The sequence below is a fragment of the Homo sapiens genome, chromosome 4, assembly GCF_000001405.40.
Source record: "Homo sapiens chromosome 4, GRCh38.p14 Primary Assembly".
Lineage (NCBI taxonomy): Eukaryota > Metazoa > Chordata > Mammalia > Primates > Hominidae > Homo > Homo sapiens.
In genome coordinates, this window is record NC_000004.12 from 140,594,804 (window position 1) to 140,607,622 (window position 12,819).

Genomic DNA, 12,819 nt, shown 5'->3' on the forward strand with positions numbered 1-12,819 from the left:
TGGCTAATTTTTTGTATTTTTAGTAGAGACGAGGTTTCACCGTGTTAGCCAGGATGGTCTCGATCTGACCTTGTGATCCGCCTGCCTTGGCCTCCCAAAGTGCTGGTGAATTATTTATCTGTCATTTCTGGGTTTTCATTTTGATTAGGGGCCATTGCTGGAGACATAGTGATACTTTGGTGGTACCTCAACATTCAGGTTTTTCATGATGCCAGAATTCTTACACTGGTTCCTTCTCATCTGGAGAGGAGTGGATTGGGTAGAGTCTTTGGGCTTTGTTTCTATAGCCCTATGCACTTCTATTGGCGGATTTTATATTGGGCTGTGTGGTTTGCCCTACAGGCCAGTAGATGGTGCTTGTGGGTAAGAGTCAGCTGCAGCACAAGCAGGTAGGTGTGTACCTGTTCTTTGTTTACTGTGAGGTGCTCTCTGTTGTTTCAGGTGAAGGACTAGACAGTGGAGTGCCTGGTGCTCTGAGCTTCCTGTTCTGTGGGAGTGGGGAAACACAGCTGGGCAGAGATTGAGGCCCTGATTTGCCCATGAATACCCCAGTGGCAAGTGCAGGCACCAGCCCTGCTGAGGGTGGCTGGGAGGAGCTCCTGGTGAAGTGCCTGGAGCCTCTGAGAGGGGGTAAGGGTGGTGTACCTGCTCCCCATCCTAGGTAGGCAGGAACTTGATTCGTTTCCCTATCACACCCCTGTTACAGGGCTTCTGATTCATAGTTTATTTATTTATATTAAAATTTTGTTATTTTAATAGTTTTTGGGGAATAGGTGATTTTTTATTACATGGAGAGTTCTTAAGTGGTGATTTCTGAGATTTTGGGGCACTTGTCATCCGAGCAGTGTACACTGTGCCATTAGTCTTTTATGCCTCATCCCCCCCACCCTTCTCCTTGAGTCTCCAAGGTCCATCATATCATTCTTATGCCTTTGCATCCTCATAGTTTAGTCCCTACTTATAAATGAGAACATACGATATTTGATTTTCCATTTTTTAGTTACTCTACTTAGAATAATGGTCTCCAACGCCGTAGAAGTTGCCGCAATTGCCATTATTTCATTTCTTTTTATGGCTGAGAGGTATTTTATGGTGTATATATACTGCATTTTTTTTAATCTACTCATTGGTTGATGGACATTTAGGTTGGCTCCATATTTTTGCAATTACAAATTGTGCTGCTGTAAATATGAATGTGCAAGTGTCATTTTCATATAATGACTTCTTTTCCTTGCTGGATCAAATGGTAGTTCTACTTTTAAATTTTTAAGGAATCTCCATACTGTTTTCCATAGTGGTTGTACTAATTTACATTTCCCTCATCAGTGTAAAAGTGTTCCCTTTTCACCACATCCACACCAGCATCTATTATTTTATGATTTTTAAATTATGGTCATTCTTGTAGGAGTAAGGTGGTATCACATTGTGATTTTAATTTGCATTTTTCTGATAGTTAGTGATGTTGAGCATTTTTTCTTATGTTTGTGGGCCATTTGTATATCTTCTTTTGAGAATTGTCTATCCATGTCCTTTTCCCACTTTTTGATGGAATTTTTTTTTCTTGCTAATTTGTTTGAGTTCCTTATAGATTCTGGATTTTAGTCTTTTGTCGAATGCATTGTTTGTGAATATTTTCTTCCACTCTATGAGTTGTCTATTTACTCCGTGGATTATTTCTTTTGCTGTGCAGAAGCTTTTTAGTTTAATTAGATCCCATTTATTTATTTTTGTTTTTGTTGCATTTGCTTTTGGGTTCTTGGTCATCAATTCTTTGCATAAGCCAATGTACAGAAGTGTTTTTCTGATGTTATCTTCAAGATTGTGCAGTGGCACTATCTTGGCTCACTGCAACCTCTGCCTCCTGGGTTCAAGTGATTCTCCTGCCTCAGCCTCCCGAGTAGCTGGGACTACAGGCACCTGCCACCACTCCTGGCAATTTTTTTTTTCTGTATTTTTAGTAGAGATGGGGTTTCTCCCTGTTGGCCAGGATGGTCTCCATCTCTTGACCTCATGATCCACCCCCCCTCGGCCTCCCAAAGTGCTGAGATTACAGGCATGAACCACCATGCCCGGCCTCTTCAAACTTTTTTAACAAGTCTTGGCTTTGCCGTTCGATTTGATTTTCTAAAAGGAAAAGCTTACTTGAATAAGGTGGAAGAGAAATAAGGGAAGCTTTAGTAAGTACTGTTTGTACAATCCTTTGTATGAGCCTACAGATGCATGGTATGACACAACCTTAACAAGAATGAATGCACTTATTATGACAGCAAGAGAAATAAGAATTGAGGCTATGATTCCTTTCCATTTACTAAACTACTTTCTTAGCTATCCTGAAATAGGGTCATTGACTCTAGAATTTTTAGTTAATTCATTGGATAAAGCGAAAAGTACTTGCAAGGCCTTTGTTATGCTCCTATTGGGGTCATTGTTGTTTGAGATGAAGGTACAACATTGGGTTTTAATCATAACACAAACTCTACTTTTTGGTCAATAACATGTCTAGAGCTATTCTGTTTTCCTAAGCCATTTGGCTAGTAGGCCTTAATTGGCCAGCTACTCTTTTGATAGCATCCTTGGTGTAATTAATAAACCACTGATGATTATAATAGATGTAATTTATCTAAGCTACATTTTTATTAATAGTTATCTGTAAAAATATAGATTCAAATCTTGCAGCTATTTGGTCATGGGCTTTGAATCTGTCAGGCACTCCCTGTGGGACTCTAATGGCATCTATGTAAACTTGAGAGTCAAAAGACCCATAAGGGGCTTCTCTTATTTTTCAGTGTTGTGGTTTTTCTTTTTCTGGTTGATGAAATGCTAGAGTGAAAGGGATAGCCAATTGGACAAGAGCACAAGTGCTGCTCCAGTTACTTGGCAGAGTGTCCATTAAGGGTCCACTGCAATACTACTATACGTCTGCTCGAGGATGACTAAGGGCAGACTGATGGGTAAGCTCTTGGAAGGGCTTGAGCTCACTACATCTTGTTAAGCTTCTAAGGAATACCAAGTTCTCCCCCTGTTGTGTGAGACACAAGGTGAAATTGATGTTGGGAGATGGAAGCTGGATGGCCCTTGGGGGCTGCCTTCAGGGTGTTGAACTTCAGGATGTAACAGAGAGAGAGCTTGGCATGACTTGTTGCCACAGGCTGTGGAATCCTGGAAAAGAGCTACTATACAGCTTATGTCTGGTAGACTGAAGGACTGTCTCAGTGGAAAGGGGACAATCTGGGCCTCTGGTCTGCCATGCGCACAAGCATAACAATTGCTTTTGTTTAACATGTGGATGGAATATTGGATCTATTGCAACCAGGCATTTACATCTTGATATCCTGTTTCAACTGCTAGAGTTTGTCTTAGATCCTTCACTTCTACAATATTTACTTTGGCATTGTTGTCGGGCAGGGTAGAAGGTTTAGAAGGAGAAGGGAAGGGGGGCAATAAAGCATATTTTGAAAAAGCCTATAGGGTCGTATCTATTGTCCTCTGCTCCTAAGCTGTAAAAGCATTCTAAAGGGGGTGCAGGGTTGGTGGAGGTAGGGGCATTAATGGAGATAATCACTGATCCAACGGTAAGGTTGACAGTTAGAGGGGGTGGTTCTTTTGGAAAGGCAGAGGTAAGATTTAGGTTGGTACAGCCTTTTGTGGGGAAGTCCTGCCATGTTCTCTGGTGGTTAGGATGACATCTGCCTTTTGAGAACATATTTCTTAACTTGGGGTGTCTTGGTACCTCCGCCATGAGCAAGGCGCAGGGTCAGTGGCTTCTCTGAAGTGGTAGAGATATTTTTCTAAAGTAGAGATTTGCCTTTGCCATTGTTCGTACTCCTCACAAGGTATAACAAGGCAAGCATCAAAGGTAATGATATGGGGTGAGTCTGACTTAGTTACCTTGATAACAAGGTCAGCAATAGAATGAGGAAAGAAGAAAGAATAATAGAATAGATGAAAGAGAGTTAAACTTTTCTTAGCTTTAGTTTGAGGGAGTTCTCCTCTTGGATAATGGCCTATGACTTCAGGGGTGGCGGTGCTTTCTTGACTTGGGTGTGATGGGTCCATCCTTTTTCTGCTGTCCAGACTGCAGTTTCAGTGGTTAGAAGCACTAGGTAAGGTCCCTCCCAGGTTGGCTTGAGTTTTCCTTCTTTCTAGCTTTTGATGAGGACGTGATCCTTGGGCTGATGCTGATGTGCCGGGAACTCTAGAGATGGCACTTATACTATGAGACTTTTGGTTTCAAGAAAAGAGAAAGTAGAGGAGAGACCAAGTATGTAATTCCTGAGGAATTGGTCTTTTGTTTTAAATGTGGGAATGTCAGCAGTGGAGTGTAAATAAGGCACTCTCTAGACTATCTCATAAGGAGAAAGGCTTATACTTTCTGAGGGGCAGTCCAGATTTTTAACAGGGCAACAGGAAGGTATTTGGTTTATGGTGACTGAGTCTCTAGAACTGATTTGGTTAAGTGGTTCTTTAAAATCTGATTTGTCTTATTTACTTTCCTTAATGAAGATGGGTGCCAAGGAGTATGATATTTAATGTCTAGGGCTTGGGATAGCTTTTTAATGATTTTAAACTTGGACACTATATTTTCAATTAATGCTATAACTGTATTATTGGCTATTGCATCTGCAAAGGGAATAGCTTTGACTTAGTGAGTGAGGTGATTTATTACCATTAATAAGTATTTTAGATGACTTATTGGAGATGTCTCTGTAATCAATTTAGGTACTTTGGAGTGGTCTTAAGCTTGGACTCCTTCTCCTGAGGGGTAATTTCTTTTGTAGTTCGTTTATCAGTAAGCAACTATCTGTAACTTGTTTGGCCAGGGTATAAATTCTCATACATTTATAAATTTTAAGAACTGTGTTACACATGGTTTGGGGTCCCTAGTGGGTCTTCTGATGCAGATGGGACAGGATATCTTTTTGTTGTCCTGTTTGTTAACAAGATAGAGAAAGTTCATTCTGAGCTTTCTCTAGCATCTATTTTTCATTAGCTTTTCTTTCTCAGTGGCAGAGAAAACAGGGATCAGGGTAGGAGGAGGAAGGTAAGGAGTTAAGTGGAAAACAGACATTTCAGAAGAAACAGCGGCCTGCTTGACTTATCTGATCTGCTACGTTATTTCCTTGATTCTTGAAAGACAAGCTTTTTCTGGTGTCCAGGGACATGGACAGACAATAGTTATTTCTTCTGGCACTGAAGGTTATTCAATACTTGGGTGATTAACTCCTTATGAACAAGGTTTTGGCCTTTACTATTAATAAGACTTTATTCAGTCTAAAACTTTTTTAAATGTATAAGGCTTGACTAAGTGCAAACAGCTCACAAGTTTGAACAGACTAATTATTAGGCAATTTTCCTGACTCTATTTCTTTAAGAGCTTCTCTATCAATTACTGAACACCTGTTGTGTCTTTTTCCTTCAATCACTTGGGAGGAATCACCTATAAACAAGTATTGTCTCATCCTGAAAGGAATTTCTCCTAGATTTGGATCTCTTGTTAAGAAACTTGCTGGGTCAAGTGAAGTATTAGTAGTTAACGTAAATCATCCTTTTTTTTTAATAGAATAGTTTCATACTTACACACAAGTAATACTTTTCTAGTGGTACATTTCTACTTCTAACACTGGCTCAACTACAACAAATGCTAGTGGATATATCAGCTGGAAGATTATTTACTTGCTTAGGAAAATTAGCTGTGGGGGTGCCTAGCTGCCTGGAGCTTCAGCTGAAGCCTTGCACTACTTGGCCCTGGCAGAAGTAAGGCAGACGTCCTATAATACAGGCTGCTCAGGGTATGGGCTGTGGCCCGATCTGCATGTCCTGTGGAGGCGCCATTGACATGGTGCCTGCACGCCGGACCAGCTGGGAGGCAGGAGTGTGGGCTCTGCCAATCATGGGGGTGCAACAGGGGCCAGACAATGCCGACGACACATTGTGGCAGATCTTTGACACTGACAACCTAACAAAAGCTGCCTGGTGACCTAGGTGCCTGGACAGGCGAAGGATCTGAAGTGGGGTCAGGGACAGAAACGACTGCTTGAGGGGAAGGGTTGAGGGCACTGAGAGGGGAAGACGGTCTAGGGGATCCTATGTGCTAGAGTATTTAGGCATGGGAAATGGCTTTTCTAACTTTTCATTATCTTTCTAACATTTTCACATGAAACTTAGGGGACTATTGGAGGAGGTATTTTTAGTATCATCTTTATCTTTTTTATTCCTTGTCTTGCTTGGGGTATGTCTTATGTTGGGTCCTAGTTAGGCTCAGTCCCTCGTATTAGAAATTTCTTGCCTATCCTTTTCTGCAGGCTTATTGAGGCTCAATTTTTCATATTAGAAATTTCTTGCCTATTATTCCTTGGGGGACTTGTTAAGGCTCAATCCTTCATATTAAGGATTTCATGCCTATCCTTTAGCCTTACCTGCTGGAGGGTCTTTGCACTTTACTTTCACTTCATCCACTCTGGCTGCTTCCTTGGCGGGAATGTTTCAGGTCCTTCTTAGCATTGATGGTGGGTCAGTATAAACCCCTGATGGGACCCCCAAAGGGCTGCCCTAAGCTGTATAAGGTGACCACAGAACTGCAGATTGGACTCACTCACTCTGCACAGCAGTAGTGCTTAGTACCACTCACACAAACAGCACCACAAATAGTAGCGCTTGTGATCATTCATACACACTTTCAACCTCCAGAATTCTGACCACCAAGGAAATACTCTGTTGCCCCTGTGACTTTTCTTACTTTAGTCTGTGCACAGAGTTACCTGGTTGCCACGGTATGTGAGCCTCATTTCTTCAAGTTGCCAGCTTTTTTATTCCTTGCATTGCTGAGAGTTTGGGTTTATTTGTCTCACTGTGTGGGTCTCATTCCTTTACCCCTGAGGCCACCACAACTAGGCAGCAGGGCACATCTCCTCACAGGAGAGGACTAGAGGCCCTTCCTCAGAGGAGAATGGGAAACCTGCACAAGCCCCCAGAGGAGAATGGGAATCCCGGATGAGCTCCCAGATTGTTGGAGATAAAAATGCTCTAGAAATAAATGCTTGGTACCACAAAGTGAAACCAGCACTCAGGCAAAAGTTTTCTCAGCAAAGCAATTTACTTCTGCAGACGGGTGCTACTCGTGTCAATCAGGGTCGCAAGAGCACAGGGAACAAAGGAAAGCAGGGGGTTTTTATAGTTAATGCAATTCCTACCTCTGTGTCTCTTCCCCATGGGCTGGGATTGGACCACACAATCTAAACTGACCTGATTAGCTACTTGTAAATATTTTTCTAAATATGGAAGGGAAGGGGGACATGAGGTACAGTGGTGAAGCATGTGAGATGTACAGTTTTGGGGGAACAATGGGTGCAGGTAACTAAGAGAAAAGATGTGAGCTATTGATTAGAGCTGACGGAAAGGGGGTAGGCTGTTTACAGTAACTAGGAGCAAGGTGGCATGTAGAACAAGAAAGTTAGATTTGAGAACAAAGGGCAAGGAAGTTAGCAGGCTAAACTTTTGAAGAGAAACTCACAGAAATTCATCGTATCCTACAAGACTTTCCCTACTGCACCCAGCACTACAATTGGGTCTTTGCTGTGAGAAACTACCCACCAGCCAAAATATCTGCTTTTCAGATTCTTTTGTCTTACAGGGTGATCCCTTGATATGGTGCTCTCCCCCTACCCCTAGGGATGCGGCTTCCTGAGAGCTGGACTGCAGCAATTGTTACTGTTCTTCTGTGTCCAGCCACCCAGCAGAGCTAACAGGCACTGGGCTGGTGCTAGGGAATGCCTACAAAGAGTCCAGTGATGTGACCAGGCTTCAGGTCTCCCAGCCATGGATACCAGCACCTGCTCTGGTGGAGGTGGCAGGGGAGAAACATAGACTTTGTGAGGATCTTTGGTTGTAGATATGTTTAGTGTGCTTTCTCAAATGCTGGTTATGCTAGCAGTGAAGTTGCCACTCAGATGGACTCAGGACCTCTGGTTAGCCCACATGTTGTAGGCAGTGGAATTAGCTGTTGATTTCTTCTTCTTGGGAGCAGTGTTATTGTCATGAGTTTCTGTAATCAGCTGAGTTGGTTGGCCTCCAGGCAGGAGGTAGCACTTGGAAGAGAGCACCAGCTACAGTATTAGCAGTGGGATATAAGCTTGCCCTACATTGGCTAGGGGAAGTGTTCTGGTTTCTCACGCAATGGTGGAAGGGGGGCACAAAGCTCCCTAGGGTTTATGTCTTTTGTGTTTGGCTACCAGAGTGCGTAGAGAAATACCATCAGGTTGGGGGAGGGCTAGGCAGGCCTGAGCTCACTCTTTTTGGACAGGGCTTGCCATGGCCACTGTGGGGGAAGGAGGGGTGGTTCTGAAGCCAATGGAGTTATGTTCTAGGGGAAAGTATGGCTGCCTCTACTTAGCAGTATTGTTCACCAGGGAAGTAGGGGATAGCTGGTAGCAAAAGGCCTTACCCAGCTCCTATGCAGTTGGTGAGGCCAATCTCACTCCCACGGTGCCCCGCTAATGGCACTGAGTTTATATCCGGGCAGCCTGCACAGAGAACTCAGACTTGCCCCAGGCCATAAGATTCCCTGCTGAGAAAGCAAGCAGGGCTTTCAGGCCTTGCCCCTCCCCATCTGCTCACAATGGTGGCAGCTTCTGCACTTGTATCTGCAGCAGTTCCTGTTCACTCCCCCACTAGTCTCCATCCTGGATTCTATTCAAGGAAGTCCATGCCCAATAGAGATTATCACAAAATTCACTTGGAAGCTTCTTTCACCCTGTGACCCCTCCCTAATTCTGCTGGCTGCCTTCCCTAAGGACCCCTGTGAATCAGGGTTGGTTTCCCCTAGCTTGAGCTGGAGACTGGGAGTGGCTGCAAGTCTCTTCCCACTGCTGTTTCTACTTTTATATTTCGTGTGGCTCTCTAAATCCATTCAAGCTGTAGGTAAGGTTAAGTCCTTCTCTGGTGATCTGGGTTTTCAGATTCCCCAGTGGGGATGTGTGTTCAGAGGCAGGTTTCCCCCGCTCACACTTTGGGAATTCACAGCTTTTCACCTGTGTATTAGTCTGTTCTCAAGCTGCTAATAAAGACATACCCGAGACTGGGTAATTTATAAAGGAAGAGGTTTAATTAACTCACGGTTCACCATGGCTGGGGAGGCCTCAAGAAACTTATAATCATGGTAGAGGGGAAGCAAATAGGTCTTTCTTCACATTGTGGGATCAGAAAGAAGTGTCCAGCAAAAAGGGGGACAAGCCCCTTATGAAACCATCAGATCGCATGAGAACTCACTATCATGAGAACAACATGAGGGTAACTGCCGCCATGATTACATTACCTCCCACCAGTTCCCTCCCATTACATGTGGGGATTATGGGAACTACGTCTCAAGATGGGGTTTGGGTGGGGACACAGCCAACCATATTGACCTGTCTTTCTGAGTTTGCAGCAGTGTGCCATTTCTTTCAAAGATCTCTCAATTCTTTCAGTTTTCCTGGTACATTTGTGTGTGGTTCTTGGAACAAAAGTTCACAGTGTGAATCTCCACACACTGTTCTGTCCATCCAAGTGGGAGATGCACGTTAACCCTGCCTCCTATCTGCCGTCTTCCGAAGCTCTTCTCCTGACTCCTAGTTTAAATGCACATTGTAGTCTATCTCCAGACCACAGTGTGGTTGAGAGCCATGGGAAATGTCTGTTTTGTGACTCTCCAAGGACATGGTTTCAGACATAACCCCGTCACTCAAACTGATACAGATAGCTTTAAGGCTCGCCTGTTCTCTGATGTGGCAGTATTGCTGCTTCTTGCAAAGCTGGGACCCCCCCCTTTAGGCCCGTGTAAGTGGGCGTTCATTGTGGTGGTGTTGGGTGGGTGGGTTGGCCTGACCTCAGGCCCTGGAGGAAGTGGTCAGGTGCCAGCAGAGTTGGAATGCGATAGGTAGTTCCCCAGTTCCCAGGCCCCTAGTGGGTGAATATATACAGACCTGGTGGATAGCATATATGGGTCCTGAAAGGGCTGGACATTTTTAGCTATGTCTAGTTTTCTACACAGCTCATCCATTGAGTTTTTAACTTCAGTTATTATTTTTATCTGTTATGAAATTTGCATTCAATTTTTATTCCATTCTTCTCATGAAATTCTCCATCTAATTTATATTCTTAAACAAATTAAATACAATCTTTTAAAAGCCTGTGTGTATCTGATAATGCCAATATCTGGATCATCTGTGGGTTTGATTTTATTTCTGTTTTTTTCTCTAGTCCTGTCCCATAGTATACTTGATACTTTTAAAATTAAATGTCATACATATATATGAAAAATTATATAGGATCTGGATAATATTATATTCATCCAGAGAAGATGTAGCTTCTTTTTGCCATGCAGTGAAAATAGGCACAGCTCTCTTTATCTTTGTGATTAAACTGGTTTCTGGGTTTCAGCTTTGATAAAGACTATTTTTTATTCACATGTGCTTTTTGTTGTTGTTGTTGTTGTTGAGACGGAGTCTCCCTCAGTCACCAGGCTGGAGTGCAGTGGTGCGATCTCGGCTCACTGCAACCTCCGCCTCCAGGGTTCAAGCGATTCTCCTGCCTCAGCCTCCCGAGTAGCTGGGACTACAGGTGTGTGCCACCACGCCTGGCTAATTTTTGTATTTTTAGTAAAGACGGGGTTTCACCATGTCGGCCAGGATGGTCTCGAGCTCTTGACTTCGTGATCTGCCCGCCTTGGCCTCCCAAAGTGCTGGGATTACAGGCATGAGCCACCGTGCCTGGCCCATATGTACTTTTAAGATATAGATTTTCAGGAGTCCCAACTAATAGTTTGGGGCATCTTCTAGGATCTCAACTCCTTGGCAGACTTTGAAATAATTTTTATCTCCCTGTTCAGAGAGAATACCTGAAGTTTGACTCAGCTTCCTAACCTGCTGCTTTGCATGTTAAGAGTCAGAAAACGCCTTGAGGGGTACCCATTCAGAGTTAACTTCTCCATATTTACTTTCTCTCCAGGATTTTGGCTTCTTACATCCTTGTTCTCTTTTCATTCTCAAACCACTACTTTTATTTCTCTAACATCAAGAGACTACCAAAAGCTCTGTTCAGCATCTTCGCCTCTTTGAGAGCCATTTTGCTTGGCTTCTGAGCCTCTTGCTCCTGCACTGATGAATAGTTGACAAATTACTTAAGAGGAAAAGTTGAGAAGAATATGGCAATCACCTTTATGCATATTCCTAAGGACCATCCGCTCGACTTAGATTTAGCAGAAAGAAGGTAACTCTGGTTTTCAGAAAATAAAAACCCAGATATTTTAGTTAGGATTCTAGTCTTTATTTTAGCCTCTTTAGGATGTTTCCAGTCTAAGGATTGAGTCTAAAGACTAATACCCACAGGAAAGTTTCAAATACTTCTGTTTGACCAAGGGTGGCAAAGACCTGGCACATGTGTGGCTATTTTTCTATCTGGCTCCAATTGTGGTTCTGGCTAAGTGATCATGGCACCCCTTTTTTGTGACTCCAGAAAATGTGTTAGAATCCTTACCAACAAAACACACAAGCCAGGACTTGGCTTACACAAGAAACTTGTCAGACATGCCTGTCTTCGGCATTAGGCTTGCGATTGGGCTGCTTGTCATGAGGTGAATAGTAACGTCATTCAGGGTGTCAGCCCAAGGCTAGAGTCATTGATTAGATATCTGGTTGTGCACAGCATTGGTACAGGACCCAGGCATATAACTCAGTGTCTTCTCCACCTCTTCTTGATCCTGCTTATTGTAAATGAAAAATAAAATTCCAGGTCCCCCAACCATCTGAATGGATCCCTTATCTCAACCAAGGGCATTCCAAAGTTAACCTGAAAAACGAGTTCAGGCCTTGATGGGAAGGTGGTGTTGGACATGCCTGATTATACCTCCTCCCTTTCAGAATTACTGATGGAACAGATTAATTAAGTCTGATAAGAAACATTTACATTCTTTTCTCCCTGAAGCCTTGCTACCTGGAGTCTTCACCTGAATGATAAAAGCCTGGTCTCCACAATCCCTTACCTCAACCTGGACGTTCATTTTTATTGGTTCCAAGTCTTTAGATAATAACCAAATGCCAATCGCAAAATCTTTGAACCCACCCATGACCCGAAAGCACCCTCCTACCCACCACTTCCAGTTGTTCCACCTTTCCAGACTGAACCAATACACATCTTAACATGTATTGACTGATAGCTTATATCTTCCTAAATTACATAAAACCAACCTGTAGCCTGACCCCCTTGGGCGCATGTTCTCAGGACTCCTGAGGGCTGTGTCATGGGTATTGCTCACTCATATTTGGCTCAGAATAAACCTCTTCAAATATTTTACAGAGTTTGACTTTTTTTGCTGACATTTTGTATAGTGGTAGAGTCCAATGGTGAGTTTGTAAACTGATTTCATACTAATGAGTTAGTATTGTAGTCCCTTTTAAAAGAAATATTGCTAACCCAAGCTGGCCTACCCAAAGCATGTTTGGGTCGGGGAAGAGTACACATGGAGGCCCTAGGCCCACCCCCCACCATTTTTTATCTCACTGTGGATGGCGTTGTGCATGTGGATGTGACACCCCAGCTTATATATAGAGGGTCTGTAAACAATCCTCCCAACAGGGAACTCCTAGGCACCCTTCTGCCCAGGGTGCCATGCCTAGGTACATGGCTCTGCTCTCACGAGCATGAGGAGAAGACTGGGCAGGTCCTAGGAGGGACTCAGAGCTGTTTGGGCAGGGTAATGGGATTCTGGTTACCAGAGTGTGGTCTGGACAAGGTGACTGGCACAGTCCCCCTGACATCAGTCTCCTTGGTCCTTCCAGAGCAGTGCGT

The 12,819-nt window shown here is 43.5% G+C and overlaps 1 annotated feature.

Annotated features, from left to right (window-relative positions):
* Positions 5,304-5,841: an enhancer, noted in NCBI's record as "H3K4me1 hESC enhancer chr4:141521261-141521798 (GRCh37/hg19 assembly coordinates)". NCBI's record gives its function as "activates a minimal SCP1, AML or CMV promoter by ChIP-STARR-seq in naive H9 embryonic stem cells {active_cell/tissue: H9 hESC(naive)}" and the evidence as "EXISTENCE:reporter gene assay evidence [ECO:0000049][PMID:30033119]".